Genomic DNA, 17,526 nt, shown 5'->3' on the forward strand with positions numbered 1-17,526 from the left:
TAAAAATCTTTTTGTTATCCTACTAACATGACTTTGAGTGTTGGTTCCAAATGGAATGAAATCTTAACATGGGAAAACATTGTGTGTGTGTGTGTGTGTGTGTGTGTGTGTGTGTGTGTTTTGTTTTGTGACTGCCTTCCCTGGAGGTATGTGGATTCACATCACAGAGCTTTGCCATCTCCCCAAAGAGACATCTTGGGAGTTTGGGGTCTCGACTGGAGGAATTTGCGTGCTCTCACCTTCCCTCTGTGGCCAGTTTCGAAGACTATGCCAAAGAACGGGGTAGAAAAACTAGCAGAAGGGACGAAGAGGGAGGGGGGAAGAGAGTGAAACACAATAGATTATGAATTTGAAAATTGCCAATTATCTTGTATCATACAGCTCAGAGCCCTGGCACAATGATCAGCCACAATCCAGATTTTTCAGCTTAAATGGCTTTACATTCAAGCAAGCAAATTAACCATAAAATAGAGGAGGGGGGGGAACAAAATATTCCAAGAAAGAATAAACCGCAGATAATAAGCACCAATCTGGTGTTGAATGCAGCCCAAGATACCAATTGTTTTAAGTCACGACAAAGACAGCTGAATGCTCATCTTGTGGATGCAGAGCGAGGATGATTGCTTGCCATGAGTATCTTCTCTCACAAATAACAGTTTTTTCGCTCTTAATTTTCTGCTAAATTGGAAGCTAACTGCTTCCCACATTGTCATCGGAACACCTGCAGCTGTGCTGGATTTCTGCGCACCATTTCTTTTAGGTAAAACAGCACTCCACTTCCTTCAGCTCCTCATTATGCCGTGAGGTCTTCTTTTCACTGCACTGCAGCACTAATGATTCAGGCAGGCTGGTCAGTCATTAAGTGACAAGCAAATGATACCGTGTGCAACGTGTGAGTAATCGGTCTGAACAAATGAAATCACAGACTTGCCTTTCCCATCATTCATTTCACAAACAGTAGCAATGTGGTGCACAGCAGGTAGTTCAGTTAAAACCAGCCTTGTAAAACAAATTTCCTGCAGCCGTTTAAGTGAACTGCGATGGGCTGGATGCTTCAGCTAGTGGATTGTGCCCGGAGGAGTTAAGAAAGGTTGGGGTGGAGGGAGGAAGGGAGAGAGGAGCTGGGAGGAGAGCCTCGGTACATACATTAGAGTAATTAAGGGTTTCGTGTCTTATTGGTATGTTTTTCATTTGCATGGATCTCAGAAATGACTGTTGGATTAGCAAACCCAAAACATACAGCATACATTTCAATGTGCCTTGTCAGGAGGTAGCTGTTAAGAGACTGAAGCAAAGTTCCCAAATAAATGCTCTAAATTTGGAGTCATGAAGACGTCATTGTAAATCAGATGGACTGCTAGGAAGTTAGTGATGCAAATCACAGTGATAAAAAGCTTCATGGCTTTTATTTTCACAGTAGATCCCCTTTTGGTTCTTTAATTATTTTGTGAACAGTGCAGACTTGGCTGCTAATAGAAACCCCACTTGCGTGCTAAAGCTTAAAATGCGTTAGATTAGCTTGAAAAACAACAAAAAAAAAGGTAAAATGAGAGAGGGTGATGTCGAGGTCTTTGTAGTCCCAAACTTTTGCCTTCAGGCCTCTGGCTAGCTCATCTCAGGCTAAGCTGGCTGGGATACGGAGAGGGGCTGCTTTCTGGGGACTGAGGCCTCCAGCAGGTTTCACTCACATCAACCCCAGTGTTTCTCTTTTGCCTGAGTTCCTGGCTGATAGGGAGATGAACCGCTTTTGGTTGAAAGTATGTTCTGAGCCTTTTGTAGCAATGACGTGGGGTTGTGGGAGGACAGCTTGGAACTATGAGGGCCGCATCAGCTCTTTTCTTTCCACACCATCAAGAACAAAACTAGGCCAGGCACGGTGGCTCACACCTGTAATCCCAGCATTTTGGGAGGCTGAGGCGGGTGGATCACCTGAGCTCAGGAGTTCAAGACCAGCCTGACCAACATGGTGAAACTCCGTCTCTACTAAAAATACAAAAATTAGCCAGGCGTGGTGGCACATGCCTGTAATCCCAGCTACTCGGATACTGAGGCAGGAGAATCGCTTGAACCCGGGAGGCGGAGGTTGTAGTGAGCCGAGATTGTGCCATTGCACTCCAGCCTGGGCCACAAGAGCAAAACTCAATCTAAAAAAAAAAAAAAAAAAAGAACAAAACAAAACAGGGTCTCACATCTGGCACCAATTTTTCCTGTCTCTGGTCATCCTGATTTCAGCTTCAAACTTACTCATCATGTTCTCTTAGGCAGCTGGTAAAAGCTTCCAGAAGTGAACCTGAACAGTCCGGCTTGACTGGAACCCACATGATACATATATACTGCACAGCTACAAAAGGCAACAAAGCAGGATGTCTGTGGGCCCGGGCTCTGGCATCACCCAGGGCTGGGCTTGCACTTGGACCTTCCTGGACACTTGCTGACTACATTAGTGTCCATAGCACCTTTCTGGCCCCTGACGCACTGGTTAACAGTCAATGTATTTATAAGGAGCGAAAGGAAGAATGTCCCTCAGTCAAGAAAATTTTTGAATGCCATGAAGTTCCTTTAGTATGAGGCTAATATCTTTAGTCTGAGATCCCATTGGGGATTGTCTCGAAATAGCTAACTAAGATTCTCAACAAATGCTGATACAACAAGGCATTCTTGCAAATGGACAGTAAGGCGTCCACTGCAAATAAGAAGTTCCTACAAAATGATGAAATACGATCCCTTCAACCATACCTCCACCTATGCCCCACTGTAAGTCTACCAAAATAAGATTGACTCAAAGCTGTCTTTGACTTGCAAGAAGGGTGCATAGATTTTTAAAGTTTTCCAAAATATATTACTGAATTAATACATGCTTATTATAAATAAATCAAACAGTATATCAAATTGTATAAAACACTCCCTCCCTCTATGCTTACTTTCACCAGGGGTAACCACTGTTCTAAGTGTGGTGTGCATTATCTCATTTTCTATGTTGATACCAGCCTACACAGAGGTGTAATCATACTCCATATCTTGTTCTGCAACTGGTTTTCTTCACTGATCAAGACACAGTGGACACCTTTTTGTGTCAGCACAAGCAAATTAATTTCATTTGTTTTAACATCAACAGAAAATTTTGGCATGTGGATGCATTTTATTCAATCAATCTTTCTACTGAAGGACAATTAGATTGTTTCTAATTCTTAATCTATTGAAAATAACACTGCAGTGAAAATCCTTGCAGGTACCTCTTCATTCATTTATGTGAGTATAATTGTAGGGTGAATTTCTAAAAACAGAATTACCAAATGGCTTAATCCTTAGCAATTTGACAGGGGATTGTTTTTCACATTTAATCTTATTAAACTAAAAATAAGGTGGAGAATCTCTTCATGTTTCAAAGAAATTTGTAATTCTTTTTGTCTGTGGCTTGCTTATCTGCCTATTTTTCAGTTAGGCTGGTGGTCTTTTACTTTTTGATTTATAAAATCATTCTTTAAGGCATGTTTATCCAAGATGTTTATCCAGTATATCTTGCAAATACTTGTTGACACTTTGACACTTCCATAGTAATGTTTGCTCTAAAGAAATGTTTGATGTTTGTGCAATTTAACAACTCTTAACTCTATGACTTTTGGGGGTTTCATTATGTTTGAAAAGTCCTCCAGACTGTAGTATTGTAAACATATTCATTCCTTTATTTTTTTAAAGAATGTTTATAATTTGAGCCACCTGGACAGTATTGTAGTTAAAAATAGGTGAGAGATGCAGCGTGATTATTTAGTAGTCCATCTTAAGGAGTAACATGACCATCCCAGACTGTCATCACATAGAAAATCATGTTTTAAGCCAGGCTGCCTTCATCACACCGTCTAGGCGCTAAGCACTCAAAGCTACGTATTCACAAGTTCTTCCCTTTAAATGTCAACAATCTAAATTTAACATCATCAAGATGTTAAGCTCGTTACAGGATTCTGTGACTTTTCAATGCTGCTGGTGCTGGCTTACCCTTGAGTTCAAGGATATAACACCATCCACAGTCTCATATTCAGAATGCTGAAACGCAAAAAGCTCTGAAAGCCTGCAAATGTTTCTTAAGTGATTTGATGGCAAACCTAACCTTACCCATCATAAAGCTATGCATAGCCTCTATTCCACATCATCTGAATATCTCTACCTTTTCTCCAGACCTCTCTATATACAATATGAACAATGCATTATTCCCTAGAAATGGAAATAGGTATGAATTGAAAAAACATCTGGTCCCAAGGATTTTGGAAAGAAGATTGTGGCTCTAGTAAGAGCGATTTATTATCTTACAGAGAAGCAGAAAACTTGCTAATAAAAGGAGAAGAATGGAGTATGGTGCGAGTTAATGGAAAAAAGGAAGAAGGAGGAGGCAGAAGATGAACATTTTGAGAAACTGCAGTTAAGAGGAGGAAATGGGGCCGGGCGCGGTGGCTCACGCCTGTAATCTCAGCACTTTGGGAGGCCGAGACGGGCCGATCACGAGGTCAGGAAATCGAGACAATCCTGGCTAACAAGGTGAAACCCCATCTCTACTAAAAACACAAAAAAAAAATTAGCCGGGCGTAGTGGCAGGCGCCTGTAGTCCCAGCTACTCGGGAGGCTGAGGCAGGAGAATGGCGTGAACCCGGGAGGCGGAGCTTGCAGTGAGCCGAGATGGCGCCACAGCACTCCAGCCTGGGCGACAGAGCGAGACTCCGTCTCCAAAAAAAAGAGGAGGAAATGGTTTCCTGGACTCTTCCTATTTAAAGCTGTGAGGATTTCTATCAATCAAACCAAGTTCAGTGCTATCAGGCCTGAGATTTTATTAAGTGACTAGCAATCAGAAAGTCACTCAGATCCCCTGAAAACAAAACAAACCTGAAAAGTCTTGAGATTTTGAACATTATGAATATAAAAAAGATGACTAGTATTCTAGTAATTAAAATAATGTTTCTTCATTTCTTCAAGGATCTTGCAATACTTCTTAGTATTCTGGGATGAGGTTTCATTTCTGTCCAAAGGGCAGGTCCCGGAGATAGACTCTCCCAGGCACATTTTAGGCTGAGATTTTTAGACCCATAGTATAGAAAGCCAGAACTCTCTCAACTCCAGCTGTTTGAGCTAAATAACTGTAAATGAAATAGGCAGTTGGTCTTTTCTTCACTGAAATCAAACAGAAGCAAATAAATAGGAAGAGAAGAAAACTCTAAATGTTCTCAACCCAGGTTTCACAGCAGAGTCATCTAGGGAACTTATAAAATATCAACCTCAAGGGAATTTCCTCTCACGCTGGAATGTGACCAGAATCACTGGAAGTGCTGATTAAAACATAGGTTACTGGGCCCAGCCTTGGAGTTTCTGATTCAGCAGGTCTTAGGGGGTGGGGGGTGAGAACGTGCATTTCTATCAAATTCCCAGGTGATGCTGCTGCTGCTGCTGATCTGGGGACATTGCTTTGAGATCTTGATTTAATTAGTGTAGGGTGGGTCTTAAGCATTATTCATCTTTCAGAGTTCCCAGGAGAATCTAACATGCAGCCTGGCTGGAGGGCCACGCCAGGAAAGAGGAATATGGGAAGGAGACTTCTCCTATGCTACCTAACCAACAGGTCCCACTTTTTTCTCCCATACAGTAATGAGATGTTCCTCAGCCTCCTTCACATCTTCAGTAGTTTATCAAAGGGGATAAGGGCCCTCATACGACTGTGGAGAAAGAGGTAAAATCACTTTTTTGAGGAGAAATATTTTCCAGGTACACAGATGAAAAGGATATAGAGATTTGACTGGAAACAAGATCAGGGAATTTTAGATGAAATTTAATTTTAAAGTACAACTTTTTGGCTGGGCGCAGTGACTCATGCCTATAATCCCAGCACTTTGGGAGGCTGAGGCGGGTGCATCACCTGAGGTCAGGAGTTCGAGACCAGCCTGACCAACATGGTAAAACCCTGTCTCCACAAAAAATACAAAAATTAACTGGGTGTGGTGGTGCATGCTGTAGTCCCAGCTACTCGGGAGGCTGAGGCAGGAAAATCGCTTGAACCTTGGAGGTGGAGGTTGCAGTGAGCCGATATCGTGCCATTGCACTCCAGCCTGGGCAACCGAGTGAGACTCTATCTCAAAAAAAAAATTTTTTTTTTAAGCTTAGAAGCAAAAATAAATTGGAAACAGAAAGTTGGGTTCCTAATTAAATGGATATAGAGAATTTTCAATGGGCTATCACTTAATTTGGAGGATAGCCCTGTTTAAAAGTAAATTTCCTTAAAATTGCAATGAAGGAGAAATTCCAGAGACTTCACAATCAGATGATAAACTTAGAAAAGATATTTAGGAATGATGATTGTCATTTATGACTGGAAACCCAATAACCTACTCTTGCTTTAAAAACCTTTTAATAGAATTGTAAAGATGAATGTCAAAGGTGGGCTAGACTTTGTTTGAAATTTCATGTTAACTCAAGATTTTGTTTGTCTGATATTCCTAAATCCTGGAAAAGGCAAGGGACATCCTCTAACATGTTAATTCACTCCCTGGCCATCTGTGACACCAGACTGATTTGATTCTTCCTTCTTCTTCCTCTTCTCCTTCTTCTTACTATTATTATTTTGAGAAGGAGTCTTCTTCAGTCTGAAGAAGACTCCTTCAGACTCAAGGAGTCTTCAGTCGCCCAGGCTGGAGTGCAGTGGCGTGATCTCGGTTCACTGCAAACTCTGCCTCCTGGGTTCACACCATTCTCCTGCCTCAGCCTCCCGAGTAGCTGGGACTACAGGCACCCGCCACCACGCCCGGCTAATTTTTTTGCATTTTTAGTAGAGACGGGGTTTCACTCTATTAGCCAGTATGGTCTTGATCTCCTGACCTCGTGATTCGCCCGCCTCGGCCTCCCAGAGTGCTGGGATTACAGGCGTGAGCCACCACGCCCGGTCCCTTATTATTATTTTTTAAAGTCTCTGACAACATTGCATGGCTCTGTGGTAATAACCACTGATAACTGCCAAAAAGAAATCTAGGAGTTTCTGATCTGCTTTTGCTTGTTTTCCAAATCTGCTTTGAGGACATGTAGAATTGGTTCTGATGGATCATGAAGGTAGATTTAGAGGATATAGACTTTGGTGAATGAAACAAAACAAAAGGAAATTAGGCTTTGGAATGAATCAATACTGCAGGACTAGTTTGTTTATTTATTAGAATACTTATCTATATGCTTACAGCAAGCCTTACTATGTCTGCTATACATTATATTTCATTGCTTTGCAGTCTACATTCAGGTGAGAACACCAACTCTCACACGTGCTAGCAAGAAGACAACAAACAACAGCAACAAAGATTGATGTCTGGCTTTACAGGGAAAGGCTGTGCTTAGCTTAAGCAGTAGGGTAGGAGTGCTTCTTAATTTCTTCTCTAATACAGCTAATTGTGCCCAAGGCGCTGGGGTTGATTCAGTTTTCTCACTTGGTGATTTATGAGACAGTGTTTCACCACCCGAGTGAAACAAGTTTTTCAATTAGTTTTATTTATTTGGATCTGAAATAGTTAGAAACCAAAGAGATGTTCGATTTGGGGGATTTCTAAGTTTAATTGCTTTTCAGCCTTGTATTAGTCTATTATCAGCTGCTAATAAAATACCTGAGACTGGGTAATTTATAAAGGAAAAAAGTTTAATTGACTCACAGTTCAGCATGGCTGGGGAGGCCTCAGGAAACTTACAATCATGGCGGAAGGGGAAGCAAATATGTCCTTCTTTACATGGCAGCAGGAAGAAGTGCCAAGCAACAGTGGGGAAGCCCCTTATAAAACCATCAGATGTTGCGAAAACTCACTCACGATCATGAGAACAGCATGGGGGAAACTGCCCCCATGATTCAATTACCTCCCACTGGGTCCCTCCCATGACATGTGGGGATTATGGGAACTACAATTCAAGATGAGATTTGGGTGGGGACACAGCCAAACCATATCAGCCTTTACTTACCTTCTTGAATAACACACAGGTTGCTATAATCCAGAGCAGAAGATAGGGTCAGTCTGGCTACTATGTTACCATCAATCCTCTTACTCTGTGTCCAGCCATTCATGCCAAGGATGTGCTTGTACCTGCCTCCACCTCAGTGAGGGTCATTTTGTCAGTTACACAACCTCTACCAGGCAGGGAGGAAGGGAAGGCCAAGGAGGTAGAATGCAAACCATCTAGTTTTGTTATTTGCTAGTTCTAGGTTGGAGTCAGCATAAAATAGAGCTTGACTGTCTGAAGTTAAATTACAATTTGGTGACAGATCTGACCTCTGGTGCCATCATGGATATTACATTGCAGTGGAGACAGCCTGGCTGGGTTTTGGCCATCCTCACTGGCAAAATCACTGACTAATCACTGCAAAGTTATTAGTGGCTCTGATAGTGAGGAATACCAGCTAACTGCAAGCTTTTCCTTCTCAAATCCCTTTTGGTTTTTCTCCCTGCTGCCCACCCACCTCGGCATGCTGTGACACTGGACTGACAGTGGGGAATTGGGATGCCTCTTCCTCTAGGTCACAGAGACCATTAGAGTCATGAGCACTTACCACTAACCCGTCTTTTAACACATTTTCTAGGAAACCCTTTACTCCTGTCCTTCTGTAAATTTCCAGGCTGGCCTCTCTTGTATGAGCTTTGACTTATTCTCCAACAGATCCTTAATTCCCTGCTTTTGGTGTGTTCCCAGGATCTTTCTCCCTAATAACTCAGGCCCTAAATCCACAAAGGATGGTGACTTGCTCTGCTATCATATTCATCTGAGAATATATATCATAACAGGCTTGCTTCTTCCTTTTGACAAAACCTAGAGTCAACCCTGGAATAATGTGTCAATTGCAACAGGCATCTGCAATATTTGCTGCTTAGTAGACAGAACCTGGAATTTCCCTGAGACAAATTATGTTAATAACTGACAAAAGGTGAGAACCCGGCATAAACATGCCATACAAATCAGTTATGAAAGACAAACAATACAAAAGAAAAAGGAGCAATAATCTCCATGAAAGGATCATTGAAAAAGAGAAAACCTGAACAGCCAATAAACCCTTGAGAAGAAACTCAGCCTCATGAGCAGTCAGGGAAATGCAAATAAAACCACCACCGGCTTAGCAAAACCTTAAAGTTTGATCATATAAAATATAAACAAGGCTGATGGGGGAATGAATATTCTCAGAGCCTTCTGGTAAGAATGCAAATTGTTCAGCCCCTTTGGAGACAATATATCAACATGCAGGGACATTGCTAGTGTACATGACACACGGCCCAACATTTTTTTCCAAAGTAAGAATCCTAGAGAATCTTTTGCAGGTGTATATAAGAAGATGTTTACCAAGATGTTCGTCAAACCATTGAAAAAAATAGATACATTCTAAATATTTGTCAATAGTAAATGGAGAAATAAACCATGGTGTATACTCATATAATGGAATAGTACCCAGCACCTAAAATGAGTGATCTAAAAGTTACAATGTATCAACATGGATAATTCTGGAAAACCCAATGCAGTATAACACAATTTATCTAGACTTAAAAGTAAAAAAAAAAATGATGACTATGCATACTATTTCTAAATATATACCTTTGTAGTCAAAGCATTAAATGATAGAAAAGGTGAGCATCAGATTCCGTACTGTAGTGACTCTGGAGAGAGTATGAGGAACGGGAAGAGGAAGGAATACTCTAGGGACTTCGACTATATCCAAAACTACTGTATTCCTTTAAAAAACAAAGCAAAATGTTCATATATATATTAAATATAGTTGGGCATATGGGTGCTTTTCTTTGTATCTAAAATACTCCTCTTTTTTCATTAATATTATAAATACTTCCATTTTATGTAAGAATGGATCTTTTAAGCCCTTGATATGATGGATAAACCTAACAACTAAACTCAAGATCCTTCCTTCTTTCTGGATTTTGGTCCTCTTCTTTGGGGCTTTGACATGAAGCACAATGATGAAGCCAAAGCAGTAAAACTGTGTGCTGGACTCAGAGGGCACTTTGGGCCAATGAACCTCTCTTCAGGCCAGGGCTACAAGTCAGTGCTCAGACACTTCCAGAATGCTCTTTTTGTTTCATTCTCCTTTAAATGCTACAGAGAAGGAAACAAAGGGAGATGCCCCCCATGGCTTTAAGCCAAACCCTTAATTTTATTTGAATATAGTTTTGTCATTTAATTACTGCCATTTTTTTCTTTTCTCTCATTCTTTCTTTTTTTAAATCTTCCAGATTGCTGTGTAATTTTTGTATCTATGCAGATTAGAGTAAGAGTTTATGAAGAACCAGCCACATAATTAAGGATATAACAGAATCTTCCACTTTACAGCCATCTTCCCCAATTTAAAAAAATGACACTTTCCATTTGTGAATCATGCATTGCTAGCTTCCAAGTTTTTACTTAAGACAAATATTTTCTGTTCAAAGCCTGCTGCAATGAATTTCCAGCCTGGCAAGTAAACATGGATTTAAGTTGACAAGTCATCTCTGGAATTCACTGGCATTTTTGCTCTGGATCCGATTCTAAGAAGAAACAGTGATATATGCATGAGTGGTCTTATATGAAAACCATATGAGAAATTCCTCCCTCATTCAGGGCCTTTCCTCGAGAGCTTTGGTAGGACCTCAAGTTAGAACTCATTTTAGATTTAGAAAGACCTCCTGGCTGCACCTGTATGTCTTTTTATTGCCTGCCTGAACTTGGACACTAAGTTACTTTAAGAGATATAGATATGATAATGGTGGTTTCTCAGCCAGTATCTAGGGAGCAGGTAGCAGACCCAAATTTGGAAATTGGAAGAAGTTTCATACAGGGACTGTTTACAAAGATATCATCAAAGTAAAGGACACCACAAGACTAGTGACCCTAGAACTGTTACCACCCCTTGGCTTCAACCAGCAAGGGGAGGAAGGGGTTTACTGCCAGAGGGAGCTGTGTGGAAAAGGTAGCCTGATGGGAGCCATGACCAAGGCACTGTGCCAGGGAGGGGCCAGGAACTAAATACTTCAATTACTCTCCACTCTCCCTCCATTCTCTTATTGGTGCTTCCCACTGGGCAAACCCAACTAGACCCAGAGAGTAAGGAAGCTCCTTGATTTCAGGAGAGCACACAGCAGTGCTAACTAAATGTGAGAGCGGATATCAACACACCGGGCTCTCCACAAACGTTCTATCAATGCACTACATATCCACATGCTTAATATTCCACATAAGCTAATGTATATTAAAAATTATTCCAAGGATAATATATTCTCCATTTTTGGCAGGTAGCAGAGTCAAACTCCTGAGACAATTTATGGAGATGCTCTGATTCCCAAATTAGTCCGCTAGTGGGGTCTAAAAATCAGCAGGCTCAACATTATGCTTTGAGCGTATAAATGCAAATGATTCATTGCTGGAAAAGGCAACATGCTTTGTACTGACCAGGAGTGTATTAAAATAAAAACAAATGCAATGGATATCATAGCTGATTTTTCACATCAAGAGAAAAACGTCTTTTTGTACTTTTGTGTTGTGTAGAGCACTGATAGTGTATCTTCCTATTGACAGAGGAGACATCTGGATCATCAAAGAGAAAACCTACTATGTTCTTTCTAATGTTAAGATTAAATAAAATTCATATTTATTAACTAAGATACAGATTTGAAAAAAAGTTGTAAAATGTCTTATTTTTATAATAGAGGTGTAAGATTAAAAAAGCACAATCCCTGTCACTTAAGACAAAAACAAATGGTCCTATTCTGCTAACCAGCAAAGAATATGCTTTCCATAAAGCTGGATAAACCCAAGGCCAGATACAGGCAGAAACACAGCTATACCCCACCCACTGTACCTCCTTTCCAACTCTGCCTGAATACTTTTCCACATAAACCTCTGATATGGTTTGGCTCTGTGTCCCCACCCAAATCTCATCTTGAATTATAATCCCCATGTGTCAAGGGAGGGACCTGGGTAGGAGGTGACTGGATCATGGGGGCAGTTTCCCCTATGCTGTTCTCGTGATAGTGAGTGGGTTCTCGTGAAATCTGATGGTTTAAAAGTGTTTGGCAGTTCCCTGCTTGCTCTCTCTCTCTCTCTCCTGCCAGCATGTAAGATGTGCCTTGCTTCCTCTTCGTCTTCTGCCATGACTGTAAGTTTCCTGAGGCCTCCCCAGCCACGCAGAACTACAAGTCAATTAAACCTCTTTCCTTTATAAATTAGCCAGTCTCAGGCAGTTCTTTACAGCAATGTGAAAATGGGCTACTACAACCTCCTACTTACTTCAGTTAAATGATATGATGTGTGTATTTTGTGCATATCAGGGTCCTGGTACATACTATGTGCTCAATAAATGTTAGTCGTAGTAAAAAATAATAATAATACAGACAAAGGAAGTTCACAGGGCATTCAGGACAAGAAAGTTTATACATAATTTCAAACTTCAAGAAACAAGTTTTATTAAGAAGTTAATATCTGAGACATGCCTTAAAGGATGACTGGATTCTAACAAGTGAAAAACTGAGTGGGATTGGAAAAGAATACTGGGTCAAGGGAACAGCATTTGTGAAAGTAGTAAATGCTGGTTATAAATGAGAAGCAGGAATATCGTCATATTCTTGGGCTGCAGAATTTGGACTTAATTAAGTTAACATTGGAGAGCTATTGAAGGAATTAGGGAGGGAAGTGGCAATAATGATGATAAGAATAGCTGTTGTTTCTTGAGCACTTACTATGTAATGTATCAGGCACTGTTCTAAGTTCTTTACAGGTAGTACTACATTCATCCTCACAACTGTCCTATGAAATAGTTGATCTTAAGCACTACATTGAGTTAGGTGCTGCAAGTGATCTCAAAAAGGCTCTCATCGTCCATAACTTCATATGTACATTTGCTGGGGATGGGGAGAGAGGGAGTATTTTTATAGAGTTCTTAAATCTCAGGATTGGAAAGTACTTTAAAGTTATTAGCTCATTTAATGTTCACAATAATCCCATGAGGTAGGTCCTATTATTATATCAATTTATAGGTTAAAAAAAACTATAGCAGAGAGAGTTAAAATAACTTGCCTAGATTCATGCAACTAGCAAATAGTGGTCCTGAAGTGTTTGATTTCACGTAGTTTAACTCACTGTTAAAGGGTACTTACTCTTTAGTGCCACTAAACTATTCTCCCACTTAAGAAACATCCACTGTAAATTTGTTAGCTGTCATTAACTGGGCTAAAGACTGGGGCTACAGAGATAAATGAAAAGTGGCTCTTGTCTCCAAGGAATCCAGGGTTTCAGGGAGAAGAGAGAGTCATATCACAGAAAATTACAGTAAATATGATAAAAGCTCTACTGGAGGCATCCACTTGGGGCAATGGGGACTCAGAACTGGAGAGATCATTGACTAGAGGGTTCAAAGACGGTTTCCCATGGGAGGTGGCCATTAACTAGGTCAGAAAGACTATGCACTTGTCTGACAAGCGTTGAAAGAACTCACTGGGCAAGAATGTAACATTTGCAAAGGGGCATGAGAGAACATGGTAGGTTCAGGAAATGGGTGGTATTACTTATGGAAACAGCTCAGAAGAATGTTGAGAGGGTAGCATTAGCAGGTGTTGGAGTTGGATTGGTTGGATGCATAACAGAATGTCTTCTAGAATTCTGGTCTGGTGTAGTGGGGTAGAAAGAAGAGTGAGTCACCAGGATAGGGAATGGGGGAGAGGAGGATTTAGAAGCAGGACGTCTGGAGGGAAGGCTAATGAGGTGAGTTTCAGACATGTTCATCTGAGGTAGGGGTGGGACCTCTGGGTGGAGGGGAAGGCAGTGGGCAATCGGAAATGAGGGTCTAAAGGAAAGAAAACTGACAACTGTTACAATATCCAGGGTCTGTAACAGCCATCCAAAGTAAATTATATCATTTAATCATCGTGGAAGTAAAACAGCTCTACCCATAGAAGGTGTTTTTCCTTAAAATGACATTTGCTGCACAGGATTGTCAAATCAGGTAGAGGAAATAAGGCAGGTTTCAATGGAGATGGCGGGAGATAAATTAGGAGGTAAATGCTTTTAGTTCAAGGACAATCAAGTGCAAGGTTCTGTGAAGGTCAGTTGGTTTGCAGGCCAGGACTAGGATGAGGCAAGAGAGTGAGTGTCTCATTAAATTTTGTCTCATTCAGGTCCCCCTGGTCCTGGCCCTGGTGATCTGATTAAGAATCATAAAGAGGCTGATTAAGCAGTGGGTGGCATTTTGTGCAAAGGAGGAGATAGTGGGGCCAAGCAGGCCACTCACAGACGTGATGAGGACAGCTAGTAGTTCTCGGCCCCCGCTGAATACTGGAATTATCTGGATAACTTGTAAAGAAACCAATTCTCTGACATCCTCTCCACAGGCTCTGATTTCACTGGTCTAGAGTGAGACTTAGGCACTGGTAATTTTTTTTTAACATTCCTAAATGATTTTTATATTCAAATAGGGTTGTAAAAGGCTCAACTAGAAAAGATGACAACTGCTTGCAGGGGAAAATAGGCAATATCAGATCCAGGAAAATAATGTCAAGTGTATAACTGGAACCATCCAAATCTTTAGATGCTGGAAGTCATTGCAATTTATTAGTAGCATTAGTAATGATACCTTTATAACAGGTAGAATCTACTTTGTTCATCAACATAACCATCCAGGGTGAGGGGGCTTGGACCACTTAAATAAAAATGTAACGTCTATGAAAACACAAAGCTACAAATGGTCCCTAGGAAGACAGTCAGTGCTAGGCCATAGGACCAATTTTACAACACCGGGGAATCTTCATGAAGACTCTTGAATATACGTTCTGTCAGCAATGGCTGCTATAGAGTAGAAGGTGTCACTGTGATGCATATGTAGATAAAAGCAGATTGAAACAATGTTTATTTTAAGCAGGTAGCCAACGTTCAAAAGATCATCCAGCAATTTCTACAAACCCAGCTCTGCTGTAAACTGTAAAATGAGAAGGTACTCTTTTGAAGGAAGTACAGTCCAAAAGCAGAGAATTCCCACCAAAAATAAAAAGGAGAACCCCATCCCGCTTTACTTTCCATCTTCATGGAAAGTTTCATGCTTTTGTGTGTGTGTGTGTCCCTTCCTTCTCTCCTGTTTCCTGACACCCTCTAATTAGTGCTCTCATCGCTGCCTCTGGCACCACGCATGCTGTAGGTGGTTGGCGTGACACTGGATGCCTGCCCCTGCAGTGCTATTAGGCACCCTGTGGCGCACAAACAAAAAGCCCAGAAAGCCTGACCCAACCATTTTCCTATGAATAGAACGTGCTTTCTTTATCAAGATAAAAGGTGCTTGTCTATTTGTATAGAGAGGAGATACACATATACGCATAAATATAGAGAACCTTGTGTATGTGTATTGCATGTGAGTTTCCTAGTCTAAAAAGGTTCTGGGTCAGAAATATTTTGGCATGTCCTTAAATAGATTCAAAGTTCCTGAAAGACGTCCTCCACGTTTGAAAGACTTAGAGAGTGAAACTTTCTTAGAAGGAAGCTGGAATTGAGTGAAATCTCTTGATCTTGAGATTAAAGAAGCTCCTAAGAAATAGATAATCCTGACTTTCTTCCAAGCTTCTTTCATGACATCTTAAGGTGGAGCTTCTTCCTTTGCCTTGGAGAGAGAAATCACAGGATCTCTGTAGTTCCAGTCCCTTTCCACCTCCAGTATGGGATGGAAAGAAGCTGGGTTTTTCTCTCACAGTCAGATATCCAATTAGTATTTATCAAGTGAATACCAAGGGCTGCTTCATTGGCTAAAGAGGACTTTTGCTCTGAAGTTCTTTCTCTGGAGAGTTATATCTCCACACCTCTGTGGGTGTTGAGCTGTTAAAATGACCATGGTGGATGGTAGTGATCAGGACTGAAAATGGGATCACAAGGGAGGATTTGCAAGGTGGCGGGGGGCAGCCTCTTACTGGGGCGGAAAGTCCTAGTACTTACCCAAAAGGGCCAGGGTAGTAGAGAGTATGATGACTATTTAGGACTACATGTTAGACTCATCACAGCCCACTCGACTCTAAAACTGAATGAACACTGGGCTACAGGCCTTGATGATCTCCTATCCTGTCCTAATGTAGGAGGCAGGTTGTCCTCCTTTGCCCTGTATCGTCAGAGACTAGAGCTGATACCTTCTTAAACAGTGGGCAGCGAGAGGTACTCCTTATTTTACTACTGCAGACATTAGGATACACACATCCCAGTTTGCCTGTGACAGTCCCCATTAATTCTTGGTGTCTTGGTGTGCACCTCCTCTCACAAGTGTCCAGGTTTGGAAGGAAAATTTTGTTATCACCCCAATGAGAACTGAGTGCTTAACAAAGACTCGATGCTGTGTCCTTACATCGGACTTGTAATATAGGAATTGAAATTGAGAGCCTGGCTAATCCAAAGCTAGGAAGATTAATTCTGTTATTAATGATAACTGAGGACTATCTACATCTTAAACAAAATGAGTTAGTTGTCAAGCTTTGAGGTGCCTTCCCTTTGCTGCGGCAGTGTTCAATGCTTGGGCTCTCTCATACGGTTGTTTCGGTGTTCCAGGGCAGACAGAAGGTGCACAGGTGAGGGGTAAGCAGGGAGTTCTCTCTCCATGCCACACACACAGAAGAGGCTCCTTGTCCAACTCACACAGAGCACTGTGTGGCTAATGGTGGCCTCAGACATGGTTTGTCACATTGGAAAACGCACATTTTGTTGAAAAGACAAGATGAACATATCACAATTATCGTTAAACCCCACAAGACAATATATGATTAAATCTAATTTTGGAGTGCCTGGAGCAGATCAGGGTAGCCAATAAATAAATGTTGAATAAATAAATGGATGGCTATCATTGACTACTCTAAATGTGTGATGGATTCAGAGAAGGGGAAATGAACAAGGGTTAGCATAGAATGGGTTGTTATCATGGATGAGATGGGAACCTTGAGGGAAGGATAAGTTGAATTGAGTGGATAGGGAGGATTTATGGGGGTGGATAGAGGTGGGAGAGGAACTTTCCATTTTAGAAGAATAACATGAGTGTGGGAGTCAGACAGTGCAATAGTAATCACACCACATACAGTTTTGCCGACAAAAAACCAAAAAACCAAAAAATTTGGTTTTCTAGTGTAAGAGAAAGGAATGATAGAGTCAGTTTTAGAATCTCCTTAGCTATTACTAACCACTGGTCTCTTTGAATACTCTTTGTAAGGCAAAGTGAGTACAAAGTGAGTACAACCCTTAGGGGTCGACATCCCATGAACAACAAAACATTTCACATGTAGCTCGGAATACATTCAATGTATCTGAGTTCTTTGAGGTAAGGGAAGAAAGTTTATACTAACAATTCTGGTTATTGGTTTGCAACTTATAGACCAATGAAATATTTACATTCCATTGATATTTCCAAATAGCCAAGAATGCGATAGGGTTTAATACATAAAACCTTTTAGTATAAAAGCTCTAGAGACAAAGGATCTTTGTCGGCCGGGTGCGGTGGCTCACGCCTGTAATCCCAGCACTTGGGGAGGCCGAGGCGAGTGG

At 41.1% G+C, this 17,526-nt stretch overlaps 3 annotated features.

The window, feature by feature from the left end:
• Nucleotides 237–1,432: an enhancer, noted in NCBI's record as "VISTA enhancer hs807". NCBI's record gives its function as "enhancer in: forebrain[8/9]" and the evidence as "EXISTENCE:transgenic organism evidence [ECO:0001131][PMID:17130149]".
• Nucleotides 6,769–6,913: an enhancer, noted in NCBI's record as "145 bp 7:22097966 sequence used in MPRA reporter constructs". NCBI's record gives its function as "activates a minimal TATA-containing promoter with rs7794991 allelic activity by MPRAs in UACC903 melanoma cells {active_cell/tissue: UACC903}" and the evidence as "EXISTENCE:reporter gene assay evidence [ECO:0000049][PMID:36423637]".
• Nucleotide 6,841: a transcriptional cis regulatory region, noted in NCBI's record as "rs7794991 or 7:22097966 MPRA-significant variant associated with a GWAS melanoma risk locus at 7p15.3". NCBI's record gives its function as "allelic transcriptional activity by MPRAs in UACC903 melanoma cells {active_cell/tissue: UACC903}" and the evidence as "EXISTENCE:reporter gene assay evidence [ECO:0000049][PMID:36423637]".

The sequence above is a fragment of the Homo sapiens genome, chromosome 7 (assembly GCF_000001405.40).
Source record: "Homo sapiens chromosome 7, GRCh38.p14 Primary Assembly".
NCBI lineage: Eukaryota > Metazoa > Chordata > Mammalia > Primates > Hominidae > Homo > Homo sapiens.